This window comes from Homo sapiens, chromosome 12 (genome assembly GCF_000001405.40).
Source record: "Homo sapiens chromosome 12, GRCh38.p14 Primary Assembly".
Classification (NCBI taxonomy): Eukaryota; Metazoa; Chordata; class Mammalia; order Primates; family Hominidae; genus Homo; species Homo sapiens.
Genome location: NC_000012.12, coordinates 131112264 through 131136029, shown reverse-complemented (window position 1 = coordinate 131136029; position 23766 = coordinate 131112264). Strand labels below are relative to the sequence as shown.

General features: G+C 53.1%; 1 protein-coding gene across 14 annotated transcripts in view, besides 1 other annotated feature; it reads right to left on the bottom strand.

Annotated features, from left to right (window-relative positions):
• ADGRD1 (adhesion G protein-coupled receptor D1) overlaps positions 1–23766 on the bottom strand; it is a 187563-nt gene that overhangs the window by 5440 nt on the left and 158357 nt on the right. For 10 of the 14 annotated variants that reach the window (NM_001330497.2, XM_011538204.2, XM_011538206.2 and 7 more), the window contains 3 exons: positions 17579–17645; positions 15117–15183; positions 4214–4305 (listed from right to left, as the gene is read on the bottom strand). In NM_001330497.2, coding sequence (NP_001317426.1) covers positions 4214–4305; positions 15117–15183; positions 17579–17645 — 226 coding nt within the window. Of the gene's footprint in view, positions 1–16; positions 3631–4213; positions 4306–15116; positions 15184–17578; positions 17646–23766 lie in introns of those variants that run through there. The other 4 variants (XM_047428718.1, XM_011538207.2, XM_047428717.1 and 1 more) reach the window with 4 other exon arrangements.
• Positions 3244–3876: an enhancer, noted in NCBI's record as "H3K4me1 hESC enhancer chr12:131616699-131617331 (GRCh37/hg19 assembly coordinates)". NCBI's record gives its function as "activates a minimal SCP1, AML or CMV promoter by ChIP-STARR-seq in naive H9 embryonic stem cells {active_cell/tissue: H9 hESC(naive)}" and the evidence as "EXISTENCE:reporter gene assay evidence [ECO:0000049][PMID:30033119]".

Below are 23766 nucleotides of genomic sequence, written 5' to 3'. Positions count from 1 at the left end.
GAAACAGTGACAGTCACCCTGAGTGGCAGGAGGGCAGGTGCAGGCTGTGAGGACTGCCCTCGAGACGCCAGGCTTCCAGATGGGTGCAGGCACCGCCCTGCCGGGAGCAAGACCTGGGGTCCTCCCTGCAGGTAGCCCTGGTTGAGGCATTTACCTGGGAGGAGCCTCGGTGTTTCCACACCTCCATCCCCTTACAGCTGGTGGGTGGGAGAGAGCTCTGGAAAAGTTCAGGTAGCACCCAGGGCTCACCTAGGCCATAGGGAGAATCTGTCCAGGCCCAGGGCTTGCATTTGAGCTGTTTGCAAAGATGAGGAGGAACCAGGACGGAGGGGAGAGATTCGGGGGACTGAAGCAGCAGAGCATCCCCCGCAGCGTCCAGAACCCAGGCCTCCTGTGAGACGCTTGGAAGGGTGCAATGAGGCCTGGGCCTGAAATGAGGCCATGGCCAGGAAGATTTCTCCAGGCCTCACTGGGCTGCAGCCCGCGTGTCCCCCGCTGATCACCCGAGCCCTCCTGTGACACTGACGGTGAGTTCTCAGAGGGCAGGGCCAAGTGGTCATCTTCATGGCCCTGCTCATGCTCAAAGGACGTGCTAAACAAGGGCTTGCTGAACTGCACTGTGAACTGACAGAGCCCCATCGCTGAACACACCAGCCCCATCAGCATGCGTTTTTATCTCCCTAGAGCCCATGGGCCCTCTTGACACAGGAGAGGCAGGTTATATATTGACCCCATTGTATAATAAGGAAACTGAGGCCCCACAGCCCCTGGTAATGGCTAAGGTGATACAGGGTTTCATCAGGGGCAGAACCAGAGGGTATGCAGACGTCCCCACCTGGGCCAGTTAGCACCTGCTCTGACTGGGCACACCAGCTGCCTGCCTCAAAGCCATTCCTGATGTGCTGTGTCAATCATGGCCAACTACCTCAAGCCCAGTCCATCCTGACTTCTGAAACAGCTGGGCTTTCCACAGCAGGGACCTTCTGCCTTTGAGCTTTAGAGAAAAGTCTAGAGACTAGCGGAGTTCCTGCTGCCCAGGTCAGCCACTGTCACATGCCTCGGTTTACCCCTCATCACTCAGGCCAGTGACTGAGATTGTCTCCCTCATAGACTGTGGGTTCCTTAAAGGCTGGAGCTTGGTCTTTTTGTCTCTGTAACCCCAAAGTGCATCCCAGCACCAGGACTCAGAGGCTCTCAGGAAATAAACATTGAATGAATGAATGAATGAATGAATGATGAACAAGTGGACGGCCATGCAGCAGTGCTGCACACAGATCTGGCACCTCCCCGGAGGAGGTGAGATGCGGCCATAATGAGCTTCCTTGTCAAGAGACCAAGAGCCTGGCACTGACAGCTCCGGGCAACCGGTGCCTGTAAAACCCAGAAGTGTTCCAGCACTTCAGCTCTCAGAGAAGCCGCAGCCAGCTTGTTCTCATAATGCTAATGCAATAAAAATAAAACACCTGTTTCTGGGAAACAACAATATCATGCATTATTCAGCTACAATCTTTAGGTCCCGGGAAACCGTATCTGAAAGGATCAATCACTGAGAAATAAGTACCAAAATGTGCTACTTTTAAAGTGATGGTTTGACTTTTCTTAAAATGAACAATAGAAGAAGATCTTGGGGGAAGACGCTGAGCTGAAGCTCTGCGGACTCTCAACACGGCCAGAGCTGTCAGTGTCCCTGGTCAAAAGCAGAAGAAGAGGGGTCCCTGGATCTGAAGGAGGCTCTAGGCAGGGGGTGTGCTTTCCTCTCTGATCTATGACCCCCTTCTGCTCCCCCAAGGTTGGCCCTGGCCTAGGGGGCTCAGGCCCTGAGTCTCCAGGCCCCACAGCCCACCTGCTCGTGGGTGCACTTCTGTGGGGGTCTCACCCTCACGCCCCCGCCCCCAGGGTCCCACTTGTAAAACCTGACCATTCTCTGCTTCTTTTTCAGGAGTCTGGAATCACAATCAATAAACAGAGACTTTTTTAAAAAGTGAAAGCCAGGCTTCTCCCCCTGCTCAGACCTCACTTATTCTATTCTCCACTTTTCTTGGGGTAGGGGGGTGGCAGGGAAGTGAAAGCCAACCCTGTGGAGGGCCCCTGAGGAAGAATCTTATCTTGTTATTCACTGAGTACTGGGCTGCTTGGCACTAAGAAAATCACTAGAATAAAACCAGAGGATGAAGAATAGCAAGGTGCTGGGGAAGCTTCCTCACGATGCAGTGACTGCCTCTTCCTGCCTGGCGCCTGCTCCCTGGCTGTGCTTCCTCAGCCCTGGGAGTCAAGTGTTACACAATCCACACTAAGAAGATTGTGAGGAAGCATCCCTGAGGGGCAGACCTGGCCGCCCAAAGGAGAGGAGCTGAAGGCATTGGGAAATGTGCTGGGTTGCACAATGGAGAGGGACCCAGAGCGGTCTGTCCCCAGAGATGCCTGCCTGCACCTCCCCGGAAGGGACGCATCCCTGGGCTGCCAGGTGCAGACGCAGGTGGGAAGGATGGGCAATGCCTTCAGCTGTGCCCTGCAAAGACCTGGGCATGCTCTCCCGGGGCACGCTACCTCGAGCCTTCACAAGAGCTGCAGACACAGTGCCAGCCTGTCGCTTGGAGGACATTTCCATGGAGAAGCAAAGGCAGTGGACAGAAGCTGCTTCCTGGGTGGGCACTGATGGGAGGATGGGGCGCAGTGGGGTAGAGATGGAAGGCGGTGCACAGGTGCGGGGCAGGTGCACAGGGGTGTTCTGGTGACAGTGGAAGTAGTGGCCTCATGGGGCTCAGACAGGGGATTGTGAGCTTTTGCTGGAGACAAGCTGGCAACAGACTGGCTGACCCTGAACGCTGAGGTGAGGGCCTGGGGAGCTGAGGGCTGGGGTGAGGAAGGGACAGGTCCCTCCCCAGCCAGGCCATGAGAGGTCCAGGAGACCATCCTGGTCTCAGCAATGGAAGAGGAAAGGACGTGATCTCTGACCCCACGAGCATCTCTTCTCGCACGGGGCACAACCCTTGAAGGTTTCCAGGAGCTGAACAGCCCAAGGAGGCTGCAGCCTCTTGTCAGGTTAATTTATGGTGTTTGGAATTCATTACAGACTAATTCTCTCATAGATTCGCTGCTGACATATTTGCCACTTTTGCTTTCACATCAGAACAGATACGCGGTGGCTGAAGTAACAGTACAGAATGTCAGCTGCCTGGTACCCACGCCCTGCTTTTCACAAAGCCCCTGAATTCCCTGCGAGGGACAGCCTCCCCAGCTTTCAGCCCTGTGGTTTGGGGGTGCTAACTGAACAGTCACACGGTCATATGAGTGAATCCCCCTCTACAGGGTCTGGCTCAGGGAGGGCACAGGTCCAGCCTGAGTCCCCATCGTCCTCCAGGCGCAGGCCTCCGTCTCAGCAGGTGGGACAGGGACTCCCCCGTGGGCCTGAACCCCTGCCGCAGCCATTCGGCCACCAGGGGGCAGAGTCGACCTCGGCCTGAAGCCAACACTAAGGATGCGAAGGCGAGCTGGGCCCGGTGCTGCAACTGCCAAAGAATTCCTGCAACGCCAGGGCTTCTGAGCTCCGGACTTCACAGTCAGCTGCGTCAGTGAGTCCCCCTTCTGCTTAGGCCAGTGCATGCTGGGATTTCTGTCACCTGCAATCGGCTGGGCCGTAAGAGATGCAGGTCAGGACACCCCCGATGGCAGTGAGTTGTGTGGCTGGAATCCCTCCCAGAGACCCCGCCCCTTCTCCAGGCGGGGCAGCCCAGAGCACACCAGGACACTGCTCTCCCTTGCACCTTCCCTGATGTGCCAGCTGAGGGGGAACCTGTTATCATCCCGTTCTGCACGTGAGGAAGGCGAGGTGCTGAGGGGCTAAACTCGCTGAGCCCAGCAGATGGCCAGGGCAGATGCGGGACTGGCAGGGGCTTTCTGGCTCTAGAATCTTCCCCGTTGCCGCCCCCCAGCTGCTCATCACCCTGGGGTGAAGAAATCCCTAGGAGAACTCCGTAGACTCCGTTCTTCTACACATGGGAGCTCTGGGGCTGGGTAAAGGCCCTGTCCTGGGTCACGAGAGCCAAGCGAGGGCGTGAAACCAGAGCTGCCCTGAGATGGCAGGGACACGGAGCAAGTGGAGGACTTTGGTGCCGGCCACAGGAGGCAGGAGTGGCTATCTCTCCTGTGACCTCAAAGCATCCTCTGGGGGCAGAAGGGCCGTGGCACTGCTGGCAGCCTGAGGTCAACTTACTTGAAGGCACTGGGGTCTCCATGGATCTTGTAGTTGTCGGCGCTGATCTGTGAGATGACTCTGGTCACAGCGATGAGGATGCCAATGTTGACCTGCACAAGAAACCATGGAGGAAGGTGAGGGGGGCCTGGGCTGCACCTGCAGGAGAGCTGCGTCCGCCTGGCCACTGCCCTCACCACAGGCTACCCCTGCCCAGCCAGGGCTCCTGGGACACAGGGGCATCACTGGGACAAATCTCACCCTGTTCCGTGGGCTTTTACCAACACACACAACATGCAAGCTTGCCTCTGAGAGCACCTGCACTGAGAAGACAGCAGAGACGAGTTCTAGTCCCAGGAACACATCCGGGCATGAGGGCATGAGCCTGGGCCAGACCTCATCTTAGCATTTGCTTCGTTAGTGTGACCCTGGGCAACTCACCCAGGTCCTCGGAGCCTCAGTGCCCCAGGTGATGAGAAGGATAGTGCCCACTGTGCAAACGACTGCTCAATGTGCCAGGCCCCGGCACAGGAGCTGGCTCTCATCTCCCGCCCCGGCCCAGGCCTGCGGCTGTGCGAGCCACAGAAGCTGCGGCAGAGGGGCATCATCTCCTGCCAGCACCCCTCCTTGCTGGGAAACTGCTGGAAGGCTCCTGTTGGGACCTATGGGGCTGGGCGGGGCACTGAGGGGCCCCGGCAGAGGCTTCAGCACAACCTGCCCCTCACCTGGGCAGCTCCCTCAGTAGGAGGCTGGCGAGGCAGGCACAGCATGGGGAAGAACCCCCTAGTGTCCTCTGGCTGCGGGGTTAGGGTGAGGGTTAGCCTTCTCCCTTGTGTCTGAAAAATTCTGAGGCCGTGTACAGAGTCAGCAAGGAGTCCAGTTCCAGGATAAAGTCCTCTGTGTGAACTCTCAGGCTCGAACTTTCAGGCAATGAACAGGGCTCTACCTCGCCGGCCTCACAGGGCAGCTGCTGTCCCCACGCCAGCCTGGGCGCGGCCAGAGCCTGGCAGTCTCTGAAGGGAGCTGCAGTCGGAGGGCAGCCACTGGGGCCCCGCACGGGATGGCCAGCTTCGCTCTCCCCCCGCACGGGATGGGCCGGCCTCGCTCTTCCCCCGCACGGGATGGGCCAGCATCGCTGTTCCGCACACCTGCACCCCTCGCCTAGGTGCCCGCGCCAGGCCTTTCTGAAGCAACTGCTGAGCCCGCCTCACCCTAGGGGCCTTGAAGCCACCTTCTGTGCCCAGGACTTTTCCACTGTGAGCCCTTCCCCTTCCTCCTCGCGCAGCTCCCGAGCCCATGAATCAGCAGGAGCCCTCCGCCCAGGGCTCTCTCAGCAGGAGACCGGCCCTGTCTGCACGGAGGCTTCAGACCCTCCTGGTGCTGTTCTTTGGGAGAGAGTGGTGCGTGGTGGGGCCGCCCCCTCCTGCCTAGCCCCTTAGGACACTATTGTGGCAGTGAGCACCCCAACTGTTCCCTCCTCGGCTCCTGTCTTCACTGACCACCTCAACACCTGGAAGCTCAGCTCACGCCCAGCTCAGCTGACAGTCGGATGCACCTTAGTTGCCCTTATTTTCCCATCTGTAAAGTGAGGCTAATAACAGAAGTGTCCAAAGGCCAGGGAAGGGAAAAGAAGTCAACACATTAGCCACCCAGCATGGTGTCTGCACAAAGAGCATGTCCAGAAACGCTGATGCCCCCCAGCCAACCTCACTGTGTAACGACGAGAAGAAAGCCACACTCAACTAGGAGCAGCAAGCGGGAGCAGCGTGGATGACAGGTCAGTGGTTTTCAAATGCAGTGATGATTCAACTAGGACAGTGACAAACGCGTGACTAATGTGCAGTTATTACTTCGAGTGGGGATTTCAATTGCAGATGGCTGATGGTCACTGATGTGTGAGTGCGGCCCATGCCCTCGGGGCAGGCTGGCCTTGGCCATCTGCCTGGGAAGCACTTTCGTGCCTCCAGTGGTGGCTACAGCATCACACAGAGAGGGAGGTGGAGATGGAAGGTGCCCCAAGTCAAACTGCCACAGACCCTGCCTGCTCTTACTGAGATTCAGAAGTTTTTCTTGAATAAATGCTTTTAGTGTGCATGCCTTTGTTTCTAGAATTCCGACTATTTTTTCAAAACAATTCTTCCAGTTCTTTCCTTGTTTTGGGAGTGGAGATTTCCCCAGGTCCTGACTCTGCCATTCTGCAACTCCTGCCCCTTTCCCTTGAGGGATTTCTATTCCGGGTACCTCACCCACTGACACAGGCGGGGGCCTCATCTGTAACAAGATTGGAAACAACCTGAACGTCCACACCGAGACAGCAGGGCGGGGCTGTCACTCACACCCAGACAGCAGGGCGGGGCTGTCACTCACACCCAGACAGCAGGGCGGGCCTGTCACACCCAGACAGCAGGGCGGGCCTGTCACTCACACCCAGACAGCAGGGCGGGCCTGTCACTCACACCCAGACAGGAGGGCCAGCCTGTCACTCACACCCAGACAGGAGGGCAGGCCTGTCACTCACACCCAGACAGCAGGGCGGGGCTGCCACTCACACCCAGACAGGAGGGCCGGCCTGTCACTCACACCCAGACAGCAGGGCGGGCCTGTCACTCACACCCAGACAGCAGGGCGGGGCTGTCACTCACACCAGACAGCAGGGCGGGCCTGTCACTCACACTCAGACAGCAGGGCGGGCCTGTCACTCACACCCAGACAGCAGGGCCGGCCTGTCACTCACACCCAGACAGCAGGGCGGGGCTGTCACTCACACCCAGACAGCAGGGCCGGCCTGTCACTCACACCAGACAGCAGGGCGGGCCTGTCACTCACACCAGACAGCAGGGCGGGGCTGCCACTCACACCCAGACAGGAGGGCCGGCCTGTCACTCACACCCAGACAGCAGGGCGGGGCTGTCACTCACACCCAGACAGCAGGGCCGGCCTGTCACTCACACCCAGACAGCAGGGTGGGGCTGCCGTCCACACCCAGACAGCAGGGCAGGGCTGCTGCCCACACCCACTCTATGGAACACTTTGTGGGTCTGAGACAGACTCAGGCAGCTCTTCCTTGGCGAAGAAGCCACACCCCACATACACTGAAGGCCGCCATGGGGTGGGTATGTAGTTACAGTCCCCCTATCTGCACAAAACCCCAGGATACCCATGAAACCAGCATCACGGGTTGCCTGTTTGGAGGGAGGGTGGAAACCAGGGAATGCAAAAACATACATAGGCAGACACATTTATGCATAGATTCTTAAGCTTTTCCTGTAAATTTTGTGTTGCCATTTCATAAATCAGATTCTTTAAATTTTAGTTTTAAACAATTATAAATTAAAAGGAAATAATATGAAACCCATTTCCTGTGAATGACGGAGCAGTGTCCTTGGGGTCAGGTGGAATAGAAACTCAGCCATGCAGTGTTCCAGTGATTCAGGGGATGGAGAAACCGTGAAGCCTGGGACCCATGAGAGGGATGCCTGGAGATGCTGGAGAGGATCTCGAGCAACTTGAGTGAGTGCAGAGTTCCCATCAACCAACACCCCACCTGAGCTCAGGGTCCCATCACAACCAACCCAACCAACACCCCACCTGAGCTCAGGGTCCCATCACAACCAACCCAACCAACACCCCACCTGAGCTCAGAATCCCATCACAACCAACACAATCAACACCCCACCTGAGCTCAGAATCCCATCACAACCAACACAGTCAAACACCCCACCTGAGCTCAGAATCCCATCACAACCAACACAACCAACACCCCACCTGAGCTCAGAGTCCCATCACAACCAACCCAACCAACACCCCACCTGAGCTCAGAGTCCCATCACAACCAACCCAACCAACACCCCACCTGAGCTCAGGGTCCCATCACAACCAACCCAACCAACACCCCACCTGAGCTCAGGGTCCCATCACAACCAACCCAACCAACACCCCACCTGAGCTCAGGGTCCCATCACAACCAACCCAACCAACACCCCACCTGAGCTCAGAATCCCATCACAACCAACACAACCAACACCTCACCTGAGCTCAGGGTCCCATCACAACCAACACAACCAACACCCCACCTGAGCTCAGAATCCCACCACAACCAACACAACCAACACCCCACCTGAGCTCAGAGTCCCATCACAACCAACACAATCAACACCTCACCTGAGCTCAGAGTCCCATAACAACCAACCCAACCAACACCCCACCTGAGCTCAGGGTCCCATCACAACCAACCCAACCAACACCCCACCTGAGCTCAGGGTCCCATCACAACCAACCCAACCAACACCTCACCTGAGCTCAGGGTCCCATCACAACCAACCCAACCAACACCCCATCTGAGCTCAGGGTCCCATCACAACCAACACCCACATGAGCTCAGAGGTCTCATCATCACTCCTGCTTTGCCTCTGGAGGCTATAAAGCGTGGTTCTGCCCCGGACCTCTCAGCTGTAAAGCTGAAAGATGCACACATGACTGTTCCCAGACTTTTCTGACAAGGCCACCGAAAGGATGATCAACTTGCAGCAAAATGTTTTGCCAACATGAAACACTACGAGTGATTAATTTGAGATTTCAAGTCCTTTACTTTATCTTGACCGCTTTGCGTTAAGATGCACTCTAAGTGTTTCATAACAGTTAAGCTGATCACATTATTACTTGTCAGAATTCATCATCTTTCCTTTTTCTCCAAAGATTTTGCTGGGTCTTTTTTTTTCTTTTAGCCTGGGTCAGTCTGGTTTCATTTTCCAGGCACATTTTTTCCATCTTATCAGGATGATACATTTGCTGTGGCTTCCTAAGAGGAGGAGCGGCTCACCATGGCCTCCAATCCTGCATCGGTGCGGTGGGGGACTTTGGCTGCGAGTGGCACAAATCTGACATTTCATGAAAATATAATACAGAATCAGGCCTGGCCCCCCTCACTCCATTTCACTCATCCTCATCCATGCCTTGCTGTATGGTACACCCACACTCGACTACAAATCGGAAAATGCCCTGGGACTGAGGCATGTACAGTGTGAGTACCATGGATATTCCAGCAGCTAAGCATCTCCCCACTAAAGGCAGATGTCAAAGAAACAACTCACAGGCCTCACTGCAGAAGAAAAACTGGAATGCACATGGAGGCAGTAGAACTGTAAAGCAAAGGTCTCGTGGCTACTATGAAGGCCAAGATCACGGTGATCTCTGGTGGGAGGAGGGAGGCAGGACTGCATAGGAATCCTGGTGTTCTGTTTCTTGACCTAGCTCAGGGTCACCAGAATGTTGATTTGTGAATAAACACTGAGCTGGACACCACTATTTCACAATGAAAGGGCTATACAGGTACATACACACATACAAATAGCTAGTTTACACAACAGTGGGTGCCTCAGTCTGTTTTCTGCTACTATAACAGAATACCACAGACTGGGTAATTTATAAAGAACAGAGATTTATTACAGTTTGGGAGACTGGGAAATCCAAAGTTGAGGGGCCTGCATCTGGTAAGGGACTTCTTGCTACACTGTCCCATAGCAGAAGTCGGAAAAGCAAGAGAGCACAGAGAGAGAGAAGGGGGCAAAACTCATCTTTTCATCAGAAACCCACTCGTTCAATAATGAAACCACTCCCACAACAGCAGCATTAACTTATTCACGAGAGCAAAGCCCTCACAACCTAATCAGCTCCTAAAGTTCCACCTCTCCGAACCTGTCGCACTGGAAATTAAGTTACATGAACTTTGAGGGAAACATTCAAACCACAGCAGTATGTCTCTGTCTGCCTGTATTTAGGTATCCGTATCTATGTATCAGTATCTACATGTATCTACAGGCAGTTCCTAACTTAGGAAGGTTCGAGTAATAATTTTTCACCTTTTCAGTGGTGTGAAAGCAAGACATGTCAGTACAAACTGTACTCTGCAAACCTATACAACTAGTTTTTCACTTCCAGTATTCAACTCATTTGATATTCAACATTGCATTATAAAGAGGCTTTGTGTTAGATGATTTTGCCCAACTCTAGGCTAATGTAAGAGTTCTGAGAATGTTTGAGGTAGGCTAGGCTATGATGTTCTGTAGGTTATATGTATTAAATGCATTTTCAATTTATGGTATTTTCTGCTTATGATGAGTTTATCAGGACTTAATCCCATTGTAAGTTCAGGAGCATCTGTATATATCTGTATCTATATTTATGCTTATCTGTACCTATGCATCTATAGCAATGCATCTGTATCTATCTCTGTATTTGTATCTGTATCCATGTATCTGCCTATATCTGTATCTACATTTCCATCTGTGTATCTGTCTCTATGTATCTGTTTGCATCTATACCTCTGTATATATATCTGTAACCATATCTCTGTCTCTATGTAGACACATAGCTACCCTGGCTTCTCCCCAAGGGAGACAAAGATTTTAAATCAGAGACTCCTTCTCTTCCCCAGACCTGGAGGCACTCTCCTTCTTTCCTCGGTGGGGCCAGCACAGAACAAGCCATTTTGAAGGCTCAGGCTAAAGTGCCCCTGACATCCAGAGTCCCTGTTCTTTGGGGGAACGGGGTGTCTAGGCTCTGTGGCTTCTGGAAAATCAGGCGTTATGGGCTGAACTATGTCCCCTCAAATTCATATGCTGAAGCCCTAAGCCTCCGTACCTAAGAACAAGACCACTTAGAGACAGGTTCTTTAAAGACATAATTATGTTAAAACGAGGTCACTAGGGTGAGCTTTAATCCAATGACTGGCTTAGGCAGTCACTTATTTTAAGAGGAGATTAAGACGCAGACATGCACAGAGGGAAAAGCATGTGAGGACACAGGGAAAAGACAGTTATCTACAAGCTAAGGAGAGAGGCCTCGGGAGAACCAACCCTGACGACACCTCGATCTTGGACTTCTGGCTTCCAAAACTGTGAGAAAATAAATTTGTTTAAGCTGTGCAGCCTGTGGTCCCGTGTTACAGCAGCCCTATAGACTAAGACACCAGGGAATAACGGGCCTATGGCCATGTTCGCATTTTGTGTAACTAGAATCACCGAGTGAATGAAAAGCCATTTCCCTGCCTTATAGCCAAGAACAATTCGAGAAGGGGCAGTGGGCAGTGTGTGTTAGAGCCGAGAACAATTCGAGAAGGGGCGGTGGGCAGTGTGTGTGTTACAGCCGAGAACAATTCGAGAAGGGGCGGTGGGCAGTGTGTGTGTTTGGCTGTAGACGCCTGGTGGGGGGTGTTACTGGAAGTGGCTAGGCTCTGCCCTTTTCTCCTCAACCCTAGGCCCAGCAGGCCCCACAGTGACCCTTTACTGTCTCCCAAATTCTTGCCTTTTCAGGATGAACCTTGCCAGGACACAGGGAAGCTGATGTTCTAATGTAAACACACAGCTTCCTAAAAGTTTTTAATTTTCAAATTATGCAGGCAATACATGGGTGTTTTTAGGTGCATATAATCTTGAAGCACATACTCCCCAAACCCAAACCTCTCCTTAGGGAACCATTATTTTGTGTGCATCTGTCTGGGCATTTTCTTATTCAGTTATATGTTCACATGTGGGTGTGTACCCATATAGAGCTTTTAACTTTTTAAACAAATGGGGTCATGCTATACTTGTTATCCCAAAACCTGCTTTCTTCATCTGGAAATAAGGCTGATGACTTGTGGGTAAATGAGGAATTGGCCCAGATGGCACAAACCCTGGGATCCTCTGAAGACGTGAGAGGGACAAGACCCCCAACTCCCCTCCACGGCACTCCCCGCAGGGGTAGGCTGGAACCTCCACGGCACCCCCTGGCCCAGAGGTTGATATGCCTTCTGCCAAGAGCCAGTTAGTATTTTTGGCTTTGCGGGCCACGCAGTCTTTGTTGCAACTATTCGGCTCAGCTGTTTTAGCCTGAAAGCAGCCACAGACAATGTGCAAATCAATGGACGTGGCTGTGTGCCAAGAAAACTCGATCTACAAAAGCAGGTAGTGGGCCACACTGCTGCAGTTTGCTGGCCTCTGCACTTGAACCTGGAACCTTTTTTTTTTTTTTTTGAGACGGAGTCTCACTCTGTTGCCCAGGCTGGATGGAGTGCAGTGGCGCAATCTCGGCTCACTGCAAGACCCGCCTCCCGGGTTCACGCCATTTTCCTGCCTCAGCCTCCCGAGTAGCTGGGACTACAGGCACCCGCCACCACGCCCAGCTAATTTTTTTGTATTTTTAGTAGAGGCGGGGTTTCACTGTGTTAGCCAGGATGGTCTCGATCTCCTGACCTCATGATCCGCCTGCCTTGGCCTCCCAAAGTGCTGGGATTACAGGCGTGAGCCACCGCGCCCAGCCTGAACCTGGAATCTTTTAAGGCTGCCCCATTCAGCTCTTGCCTCCCTTCCAATCTGCCTGTTGCTACCAATGTCCCAAGAGGGCATGAGGACCTCAAGCCAGCTGTGCTGAGAGTCACCTGGAAGATTCTAAAGGCCAACAAGCCGAAACTTCAGGAGGTGGAGCTTAGACAGGAATACTCTTAAAGCTTCCCAGGGCCGGGCGCAGTGGCTCACGCCTGCAGTCCCAGCACTTTGGGAGGCCGAGGCGGGTGGATCACCTGAGGTCAGGAGTTAGAGACCAGCCTGGCCAACATGGTGAAACCCTGTTTCTACTAAAAATACAAAAATTAGCTGGGCTTGGTGGCACCTGCCTGTAGTCCCAGCTGAGGCAAGAGAATTGCTTGAACCTGGGAAGCAGAGGTTGCAGTAAGCCAAGATCGTGCCACTGCACTCCAGCCTGGGCGACAGAGCGAAGACTCTGTCGCAAAAAAAAAAAAAAAAAAAAAAAAAAAAAAAAAACTCCCCAGGTAATTCAATTATGTAATGAGTTTGAGGGCTCATTCTGTCCTCCAGGAATGATGGCCACTGACAACAAGGAGTGGGGTAGGGGGTGGGGCCCTGAAGGTAATGTCCCCTCAGGAATGACAAAAGGGACTCTAGTGAAGCTGGGAGACACAGGGGTGCTGGGTTCCTGGCGCTCGGCCCCACGCCGTGTGGGTGGTGAAGGAGCCAGGCAGAGCCACCTCGGAACCCCAGCTGTCACTGACCACGGTCAGACATGAAAGCCAGATGACCAGGACAGTGTCTGACACAGGGGCCTGTTCTGCCCAGGCCCTGCGGTTCTAGAGGGTTTAAGTCAGTAGAGAGAAAGGGAGAACAAGGAACAGCAGAGACTTGAATACAACTTACCCTTCCCACCCTCTGTCACTAAACGTCCTTTAAAGCCCCTCCCAACTGGCCATGCTCCGGCCAGGAGTTTGATGACTGGAGTCCGCTCTGAAAGCGTTTTTGCATGTTGGTTGGCAAAATGAATGGTCCTCCCAGACCCCCAGAGAGCGCGGGGACCTCTCCCTGAAGCCTCTGACACTCTTTAAAGGGTAGAGTCGGTAAAGCGATGGCAGGTGATCCTCACGCAGCCCCGGGGAGGCGCTGCGGCCCCCAGACCCTAAGAGCTCAAGCGCGCAGCCCCAAAGGCGTCCCCTCTGCAGCTGACAGCGATTCACTGAAAGAAAAACCAGCCCTGCTCGGAGCTCTGTAGACGCTGTGAGGGAGGCTCTGATGCCACAAGCCTTTCCCTCGCGACCACCTCTGCTTGCACAAAGATCCCTGCCCTCGGCTCGTGGCGCCCCGCGCAACACCCCTGGGCCCCTGACGCCCCTCAGTCCAGGGAGCTGCTCCAGTTCACTGCGGGGCCCTGACCCAGCCTGCAGACGGGAAGCCTGGGCCAGGACGCGCAGCCCGGGCCCAACCAGCCAGGGCCCTCAGAGACAGGCACGTGGAAGTACCGAAGGGAAAGCACAGACTCTGCTGAGGTCACACCCTCTGATCACGACCCCACCATACCAGCAGCTCCTGGTGTCCACCGGTGCTAACTGCACAAAGAAATCATGGGAGGCAGCCCTGACCAACATTCGACTCCATCCCATTTCCCTGATTGGTTCTGGGACGGACACATGACTCACCGCAGCCAATGAGAACCAGCCTGGGACTTGCGATGGGAGTGCTGGGAAAAAGCCTCCGTTTCCATCCGGGGAGGCAGAGAAGATGAGGGACGAGCCTCATGCCAGTGCAGGTGCAGGAGCCCTGGGCCCAGCCTCCCCACAGATGGTCCTGACTCAGGAACCTGTAAATCCCCATCCGTGTTTAAACACTGAGTTGGGGCCAGGCACAGTGGCTCACGCCTGTAATCCCAGCACTTTGGGAGACAGAGGAGGGCAGATCACCTGAGGTCAGGAGTTCGAGACCAGCCTGGCCAACACGGTGAAACCCCGTCTCTACTAAAAATACAAAATTAGCTGGGCGTGGTGGCGCATGGCTGTAATCCCAGCTACTTGGGAGAGTGAGGCAGGAGAATCGCCTGAACCCAGGAGGCAGAGGTTGCAGTGAGATCGCACCACTGCACTCCAGCCTGGGAGACAAAGTGAGACTCCGTCTCAAAAAAACAATAACAAAAACAACAACAAAAAACTCTGAGTTGGGTTTTCTGTCACTTGCAAACCACTGTAACTGTAACTGTTATGTGTGGTTCCCAGGAGGCTTCTGCTGAGATTCCCCTCTGCAGCCTTGGAGTCCTGGTGACTCCTGAGCAAGGAGCTAGCCGGTGGGTGAGAAGGCACCGGAGGATGGGGAAGGACGAGCCCGCGCCTGTGCTGTTCTCAGGGCTGTGTGCCTGCACCTGCCGCCTCGACTGGAAGAGCCCTGGGGCCTCGAGTGGACCCGCCTGGAAAGCACCGCCTTCCTGAGCATTCCGGGAAATAAGACCCTCAGTCACTGGCCCAGAGGAGCCCTAGCGAGGAGTGACCGAGGAACGACGCTGCATCCTTCGGAAGCTCCTCAGGGAGCCCCCCGCCATCTCCAGAGCCCCACACCCTCTCCTCCTGCCCCTCCCCAGCCCCGCTCTGCGCCCACAAGGGTAGGAAACGTACCACGATGACAAACAGGGCAGGGGCTACAAAGGCCCAGATGGCGCCACTCGCCAACGACAGCCAGCAACTGCGGAGGGAAGCAGAGCCGTTACTTCAACAACCTCGTTCCACCTGCCAGCGTACCTTCATCCAAAAGTAGTTGCTAAGGTGATGTCTTTCTCAGCTACAGGGTCCACCTGGGGCAGTCATACAACATTCCTAATCCCTGCAAATGTATTTTTATCCATGATGATCCCACGTCTCATTCTTGGAAAGGATTTTCCAGGTTTGAAGACCAGGACAGCAACCTCTGGAGAGTTTAGCCAAAATCCAGAATAGATTTCAATTTCATTAGGAAATAGACCTTTGCTGGGGACTGGCTTTCCTGCAGAGCACTTCAAGTATGACCCAATAGGGGCCTTCTGTGAGGGATTCCCATCCTGATGAGTCGTCAGCGATGCAGCACCTGACCATTCCCATATGCCCAAAGCTCGAGGTCAGTTCCCCTCTCTCCGTGCCCTCCAACTGAGAGGAAAGGTTCCAGAGGGTCCTAGTGATTGCTCTGATGTCCTGAGAGGAGGGTCCAGTTTGAGGATCTGGCCTCTGAGAAGTGACCCCAAGAACTCGGGCAAAAAAAAGCCAGCTCCTCCACAATTTTATCTCCAGAGCCTACGGCACTGTCAAGAGCCGAAGAGTCCCTAGGACCTCTCATCTTGACTCCTGGACACTGTTTCCCAAGGACCTGGAGTGCCTTTAATTGGATCTGGGCAGGTGCGTGGCGCAGTCCTCACTGGCACCCAATGTGGTGTCTCCCCGGGGCTGGCTTATTTCATCCCTCCGTGACTGCTCACTGAGCAGCAGGTCTGCCCCACAGCACAACAAACTCCATCATCTCATTTAATCCTATGCTGCCCCTGAGGTGGGCGCTATGATCACTCCAATCCTGCAGATGAGGAATCTGAGCCCTAAATAGCTCAGGTGACTTCAGAGATCACTGTCAGCACACTGCCTCCCTGCCCCCATTCCTCCCCAAAGCCTCCCGGACCAGGAGATGGCAAATGCCCCAAAACAAGAGACAGCACCTGCAAGAGGCTCATTCATGGCTGCACACCCAGAGCACGGAGAGGAGAAACCTCTCATCTGAGGATGCACTGTTTAAAAGGAAAATGCACTGCAAGTCTGAATGGTACCTCTGCAAAGGTGCGATTCAAACCAGGCTCTCCGGAGAGTAGGATGCTTCTGCAAAGAGAGAGATTGTGCTTTCCAGCACTTCATGCAGAATTTTAAGTCGACGAGGGGCTTCTGGTAGATACTCTATCCTGTTCAGAAACCTGGTGAGCTTCCTGAACCTGGCTGGTGCTGCCTGGCTTTCGGGCATGAGTGTGGGAAAAGGCTTGTATTACGGTCAGACCCCGGGACTCAGGACTGTGGGTCCAGCATCCCCAAGCTCCAGATGGGATAAAAGGGAACAAATGCCATTGAGCTGTGTTTGAGGAGAACATTCTTCTTCTAATTAGTCCCTCAACTTCTAACAGCATCCAGAATGAAAGGAAGGCCAGAACAGTGGTCTGCGTAACCATGCTTGTTTCACTGTGCGCTCAGACACTGCCTTCTACAAATGCTTCGCCTTCAGGGAACCTGCACCAACGTGGAAAAGGCTGGATTTCTCCCAGTTTCACTATTCGTCTGTACTATTATCTCATTCTGAAGCTGTGAAAATGCTCAACTTCCTTTCTGTTTGTAAGCACCGTCAATATTTATTTTCCATGTTTTCACTCAGTGGTTTCTCAGCGTGGCTAGGACAGGTAGCAGCTTCCAAGAAACATTTGAGTGAAAGCTCTTTTACTTGTAAGGAAAGAAAATCATCTTTCTGGAACGTGAACAGCTGATCTGGTCCCTCAGCACCATCCCATCCTCTTCCTGACACAACTGTGGACCCATGAGCTGCATTTCAAGTGGCAACAGGAGATACTGGACATCATAAGGTCCATCCCCTACTACCCAAGCAATGGGACCCTCAAGACCACCTGCCTGGTGCACAGCAGGCCCCACTTACTCCAACATGCATGTGTCTGCTCCCTGTGAGTTACTGGGCACACGGTCTGCACAGTGCGCTTGCTGGCCACCCCAAGAAAGGGTGAAAGGGCCACAATTCAGCCTCCGTGGATGACCAGAACTGTGTCTGAGAAGACCACGTGGGTGAAACATTTCCAAGCAGAAACTCCTAGCAGGCCCCCTGCTATTCCTGGAGGCGCTCTGTGGTCTTTGTTGCTAGTTCCGAGGCCCCAAAATGTCCAGAGCACAGCTGGGTTGTTTCTCCCTCTCCCTGGACCACGACTTTCTCACCGGCTGGGCCTGTGGGAGCCAGCTTTGCACAGCACCCCTGCACCCAGAAGAGCACAGGAAGGCAAGAGCCACGGGGCTCTCGCCACAAGCTGTTCCATGGAACGCCTGCCAAAAGCAAGGCAAAGCCCTGCACTTACTTGTTGCTTGTTCCGTAACTGTCCATGGCAAATGACAGTGAAATGATGCAGATCAGAAGAGGAAAACCTGCAGAAGATTGGAGAATATCATGTTCACTTGCTCCAGTTTTCTTCCCTCCCTCCCGCCTCCCCCATCCCTCCCTTCCTTTCTTCATTCCTTGTACACCTCATACATGTATACAGAGGGGGAACTATGTGCTAATTGTTGGGACACAGAACAGCCCCTATCCTCAAAGAACTTTTAGTCTAAACAAAGGAATAACACACACACACTCATACTCACATGTTCACACTTCTGTACTAGACAACAAAGTGTATGAGTCTTCATCAAAACAAACCATGTGGGTGAGATGTGGCATTGTGACTGGCAGGAAGGTAAGCTCAGCTTGGTCTATCTAGACCTGTGGTTCTCAACCAGGGCCAAGGTGGCCCCACAAGAGACAACTGGCAATGGCTTAAGTCATCTAGGGTTGTCATAACGGGATGGAATCAGGCAGGCAGAGGCCAGGGCTTCTGTTAAACACCCTACAATGCACAAGACTGCCCCACAAGAGTCACCCAGCCCAAGTATCCATAGTGTTGGTTGAGAAGCCCTGTTCTAGAGCGGCGGTGGAAAGGTGTGAGATCAGCTGGGACTGAGGGGACATCGGACATGGCTGACTTTGCCATGCACACAGTCCACATTCTTACAGTATTTGAGCCCATAATTTCCTTAGGGAACCTATCACACTCCATCTTTCCATGAGGTCCAGGTGGGCTGGTTCCTTCCTGGCTCTGAGGCATGTGACCCAGGACTGGCTGACTGGAACATCAAATCCCCCAGCCACAGCTATTGGTTCAAAGATGGGCATGTGACCCTGGCTGGCCCAATGAGACTCAATCAAGGGCTTTCTTCGAAACTGCTGAGAAGAAACTCTCTTTTCTACGGAGCCCCTAAGAGGATAAGGATGTCAGTGAGCTTGGGGTCCAGGCAGCCATTTTGGCACCACAAGAGATCAGATCTGAGAGACGGAAAAAGAAAACAAAATCTTGATTATATTACTTAAGCTCATGGATCAAGCCATATCTGAAGTCCAGCATCTTAGAACTTTTTTGTTATATGAGCCATCACATTCCCTTTTTGCCTTAGCCAGTTCAAGTTGGATTTCTATTACTTGAAACTGAGTGTGACAAATTAAATGTGTTTAATATTTGACAAAGCCAAGTGAGACTTTGGGGGTGGTGATAGAAGGGAGGCCCACGAATGAGGTAGAAAGCATCTGGATCACAGCAGTCCCCAGAGCTTCATCATTCTGCAACGAAAACACTCTATGGCCACACTACTTGTAGGAATTGACCTAACCCAAATCTGAACTGGCCTCTACTTTCACTTTTAAAGTGCAGAGGTTTTGTATGCTAATGTGTCTTATGACTCTCCAAAAGGAAGATCGCATTGCAACACTCCTCAAGCTCAGCCATCCACGGAATTTGTCTGGAAACATGGCTCTGCTTCCACACGCACGTGTGAGCTTTGAAACAGATCCTGCACGAATGGGAATCTGTTTCTGAAAAGAACACACTTCTCGTTATTCAGAAAGTGGGGCATCATCCACGGGGCCTGCTCTAGTGCAGCCACCCTGAGCACAGCAGCCTCTGTCCTCTGCTCCCTCTGCAGGGAAGGATGGGAGAGAGATGAGAGACTGCAAAGGACCAGCTCCTTACTCCACACCTGAACCTTTTCCCCAGGAGGATGCTCAAGAGACACAGCTCCTGGCACATCTCGGATCCCTGGGATAGCAGGGTGGGGGATGGAAGTGCACGAAGAGCATGTGGCTCTCTGCCTCCGTAGCTGAAGTCACACAGGTTCTGGGAGATTTCTGCTCCAGAGGAAGGAGGAGGAGGGAAGGTGGCTCCTGGCACCCACCCGACCGCCTCCAGGCCGCAGCCCTCCAGTGCCCTCTGGGGGCAGAGTACACGCCGTGCCTGCCCTTCCAAACATCAGGGTTTGGGTTTCAAGTTAATTACCCTGGAAAGACATTTCCTGGACAGTCTTGTCTCTGAAATACTTGGTTTTAAATGTCAAAAGGACTTAAATGCATTGCAGAATGTCTGGGCAATAAAGTTGTCCAGAAGGAGACCAGGCAGCCTCTGTGGAAGAGGCGCACAGTTGGGGCCCAGCAGTGACTGTGGGCCTTTGTCATCCTGTCACTTTGAGTTTCCCTATGTGAGCTCCTCTGCCATTTCTTCCCCTGCATCTACCCCTGTGTCCAGCAGAGGCCAAGCCATGGGTAAGGACAAAGGGTCTGAGAACAGGGTGGGGCCCACTGTCTGCTTTCTCCAAAATGAGCTGCAGGAGCTATGAAGTCTGGGTGAGTGCGTTTGTGGGGCTTTTTAAGAAGAAAACATTCCTAAGTGGGAGGATAAGGAGAGGGGCAGTAAGATGGAGAAGACAGTGAGTGGGAAGAGCGTGGGCTTTGGGGCCAGAAGACACCTCGTTCTATTCCTGGGGCTGCCCGGGACCAGCTGTGCATCTACAAGGAACCAGCCGAAATTCTGTGCTCAGACCATGGGAACGTAATGAGTTGCCTTCCTCACTAGGCTGTGAGGATGACATGAGCTGTCTATGAATGATGAGCCCCTCGATGATGAAGCTGATCTTGCAATAATCTGTATCATCAACCAGCTCAGACCTCACCCCTTTCCCACCACTGCTGTCATCTGAAACTCTCACACGGTAACCTGGGCAGACCTGGAACATGCTTCTGCGGACAATGTGAAGTCCCTCTGGCCCTGTCATCAGAGACATTTACTTTGGGTGCTCCTCTTTGCAACACGGTGACCTTCAGAGGGACCAGACCGGTGCTGTCCTTGGCATCTGCCCCCTAAGATTGAGGGGCAGGTGAGGAGCATGGGTTATGAGAGATTAACCGAGGTGGGTGAAGCGAAGGCCTGGGAGGATGGGCGCATGGGCAAGGGGTCTCGACAGATGGGGTGGAGGGAGACAATACCAGGGAACTGTGGAAGTCACTGGTGCCACCTATTTCCAGATGCCCCACACGCGGGCACAGGGGAGGTCCACACCCCTGCCCCTCGGGGCTCTTGAGGCCACGGGGCTGGTTCTGGGCACTGAGTTGTGTACAGAAGGGACATGTGTCTTATGGGCTGAGCACATGATTTCCAGTGCAGTGTCCTCTCTGACCCCTTCCCTCACATAGCTCGAGGCGGTGCCTTCTCCGTCAGCCTGGGCTCTTCACTGTCCACCACCACGGGCCACCATGGACATGTAGCGTGCATAGGAAAATGACGTTTGTTCTTTAAAACCAAAGAGGGATGGAAGCTGTTTGTTATTGCAGCCTTGCCCGCCTACCCTGACGGATCCCCCTCCTGTGATCATGGCATTACGCAATCTCTCTGGAATGAAAGTGCAGCTTCAGAGAAAGGGGGGGCCTGGAACTAAGATTAAGTTTTGTCCCTAGAGGAACAGGAGCTCACAAAAGAAACTAAGTTGCAATAAAGAAAAATAAAACGAGTTACATTCTCTTCACCTCTGAGTTTGCAATCAGAGTTTCTTGTCTGCTTCAGTGATGTGTAAACTCTCCAATGCTTGTCACTCTGCCCTCCTGGCTACCTTGTGGGCTCCTTGAGGACAGAGGTTATCTGTCCCTCCCTTCAGAGTTCCTAGCACAAGTCTCGCAGTCAACAACACCTTAAGGTAAGGTGTGGATTTGATGCCCCCCCACCCCACCTCAGTTTCCAAAAAATAATATTGCTCAAAAACTAGAGTAAGGCCAGGATGAAATCTGCAGGAAGAAGCCACCTCCCAGGGGCTCCCCCCACCATGCTCTGGGTGGGCCTCCAGCTCCTTAATTAAAAACTGAAGGTCGAGAGAGCCCAACTGCCTGCAGACCCCCCCGACTTCAGCTTGTAGCCAGCTCCAATCCATTTGGAATGAAAGACACAGTTCTTGGGCTCCTGATGAAATTAATTAAGGGAAAGCTGACAGGGAGATAGATGGAGGTTGCAGGACTCACAGAACCAGCCAGCGCTCCATTTGCAAGAGCTGTGTCAGGGACTACAAGCTCAGTCTCCTACTGGGGCTGCATTGGTATCAGAAACCACACAGTTCTGGCCACTGTTGTCAAGGAGGAATATAAACTCAGGGCGTCGGATCTCCTCATTTTTCAAAAGAACTTTGTAATCTTGTGTAAAATCCCTCAATCTTAAAATATTGGCAAATAATTCATTTTTTCCCTCCAGCATTGTGCAGATCAAATAAAACATCCTTCCAGGCTGGATTGGTTTGGCTTAGATTCTCTGTCTGTCAAACACACACACCCCAACCCCATCCTATCGGCGACACAGACAGCCCCGCTACATACATTGCTCTCACTCTAGCAACAAATCCTGCAGACACTTTTCGTTCACCCAGCTGTCTTTTCTGTGGCTTATGGAGAGTGTGAGTGTGTGTGCGTGTGTGTGCGTGCACACATGCACGTATGCCTCTAAATTACATGACTGTATCCATAAAGAAACTATAATAAACTCTAGATAGTTGGCCATCAGTCAGCCTCTAAATCCTCCCTGATGAGGTCAGATATCATCAGAAGGAGCAGCTCTCCTCTCTGGGGCGTCACAGAGGCCTGAAGAAGCAGGTCATGCGTGACCTGGAGGGAGGGCAGAGGACACGGGCCTCAGGACCAGCGTGTGCAAAAGCATCCTCGTGATGATACAGCATGAGCAGTGAGGCAGGACGGAGGACGTCCGTGGTGACTCGGGGAGCTCCCTGCATGACCAGCCGCAGTCTGGAGGTGGCTGCCCAAGTGGCCTCTTCAGTCTCCCCAGGGAGCCACGAGGGGAGCACAATTTACCTCCACTTAATCCTCAGATAAATTACATTTGCCAACTCAAAGCACAAAGTAAGCCTGTTTACCTGCTACTTGCATAACAAAGACTGTGAAAATTAAACGTATTTGAAACAAGTAGCAGGTCCCTCATGTCTGGTCAGTGTTTTACAACAACTGCGAGAATGCTAAGTGTCAATGCACAGCCCAACCTAGAGCCTCCAGTGCTCACTGGGACCCCTTGGGATGGGCAAGGGCAAAGCTCAGCAAAGAAGCCACATCACTGGGGAGCTGACTTCTAGAATGACAGCACAAGTCGCTCAGCAGACCCCTCCCCAGAGACAGCTATCACTGAAAAAAAAAAGTTTTAAAAAACATAATCATTTAAAGTCTCTGTACATTTTCCTAAGGGTTTACAGCAAATTGAGAAAAACTGGCTCAAGAAAATCTACTAAATCTTGTTAAGAAGACTGAGTCTGTGGCACTTCAGCCAAAACCTGCTTCCCTGCCCAGCTTGGTGTGAGAGAGGCTCTGCTCCAAGTAGGTGTGGGCAAGAAGACAGGGCTCCACTCCCTCCAGCTCCCAGTCCAGGGCTACGGTATCTCCCCAGGCTGGGGGAGGTGGGGAAGGCTGCCCGCATTTCTCATTCCCCCCAACTTTGTGCTTTAGAAGCTCTACTCCAGATAAAAGCAGCTGAAAGGTTGGGACTCCCTTCCTCCTCCAACTCATAGTATGCAGGGTGTGGCAGGCTCAGAACACTGGGGCCTCACTGCCCTCATCTCTGTTGACTCATTGGGCAGAGGTTCTACACTGGGAGAGACAAGCTCTGAAGATTCGAAGCGATTTCCCCCACCCAGTGCCCTGCATGAGAGGCAGACATGTCACTCCACAAAAAGTGGGCCACTGTCCTTGCCTGCAGCTCCAGAGCAGTGCCTCAGGAATTCTTCCCAGGAAAAGAAGCTACCCATTAGGTTAGAGAACTCCAAAGTGCTCCCCATGGGAACTGATTTAAAGCAGAGTGGAGAAGTTCAAGCCTAAGGTAGTCTGGGAAAGAACGGAGCTTTGCAGCAGGGAACGAAGAGGAAGCTGGTGGCTCCGCGACAACACCAAGATAAACCATATTCCGGCTGGTTTACTGGAGACAGCCAGGGAAGAGACAGCTCAGAAGAGCCTTCCTGGGGTCAGAACAAACCTCAAAGACTGGCCTCAAAAATACCCCTACGAAGGGGCCTGGATTTAATCAGATCAAGCTGTAGAGCATCATGTGCCCCAAGCTATTGTTGGGAACAACAGAGCCATAGGCTGGCAATGAGTGGAACCTAACAGATGGTGTCATACAAACATAAGTAGAGAGCTTGAGAGAGAGGC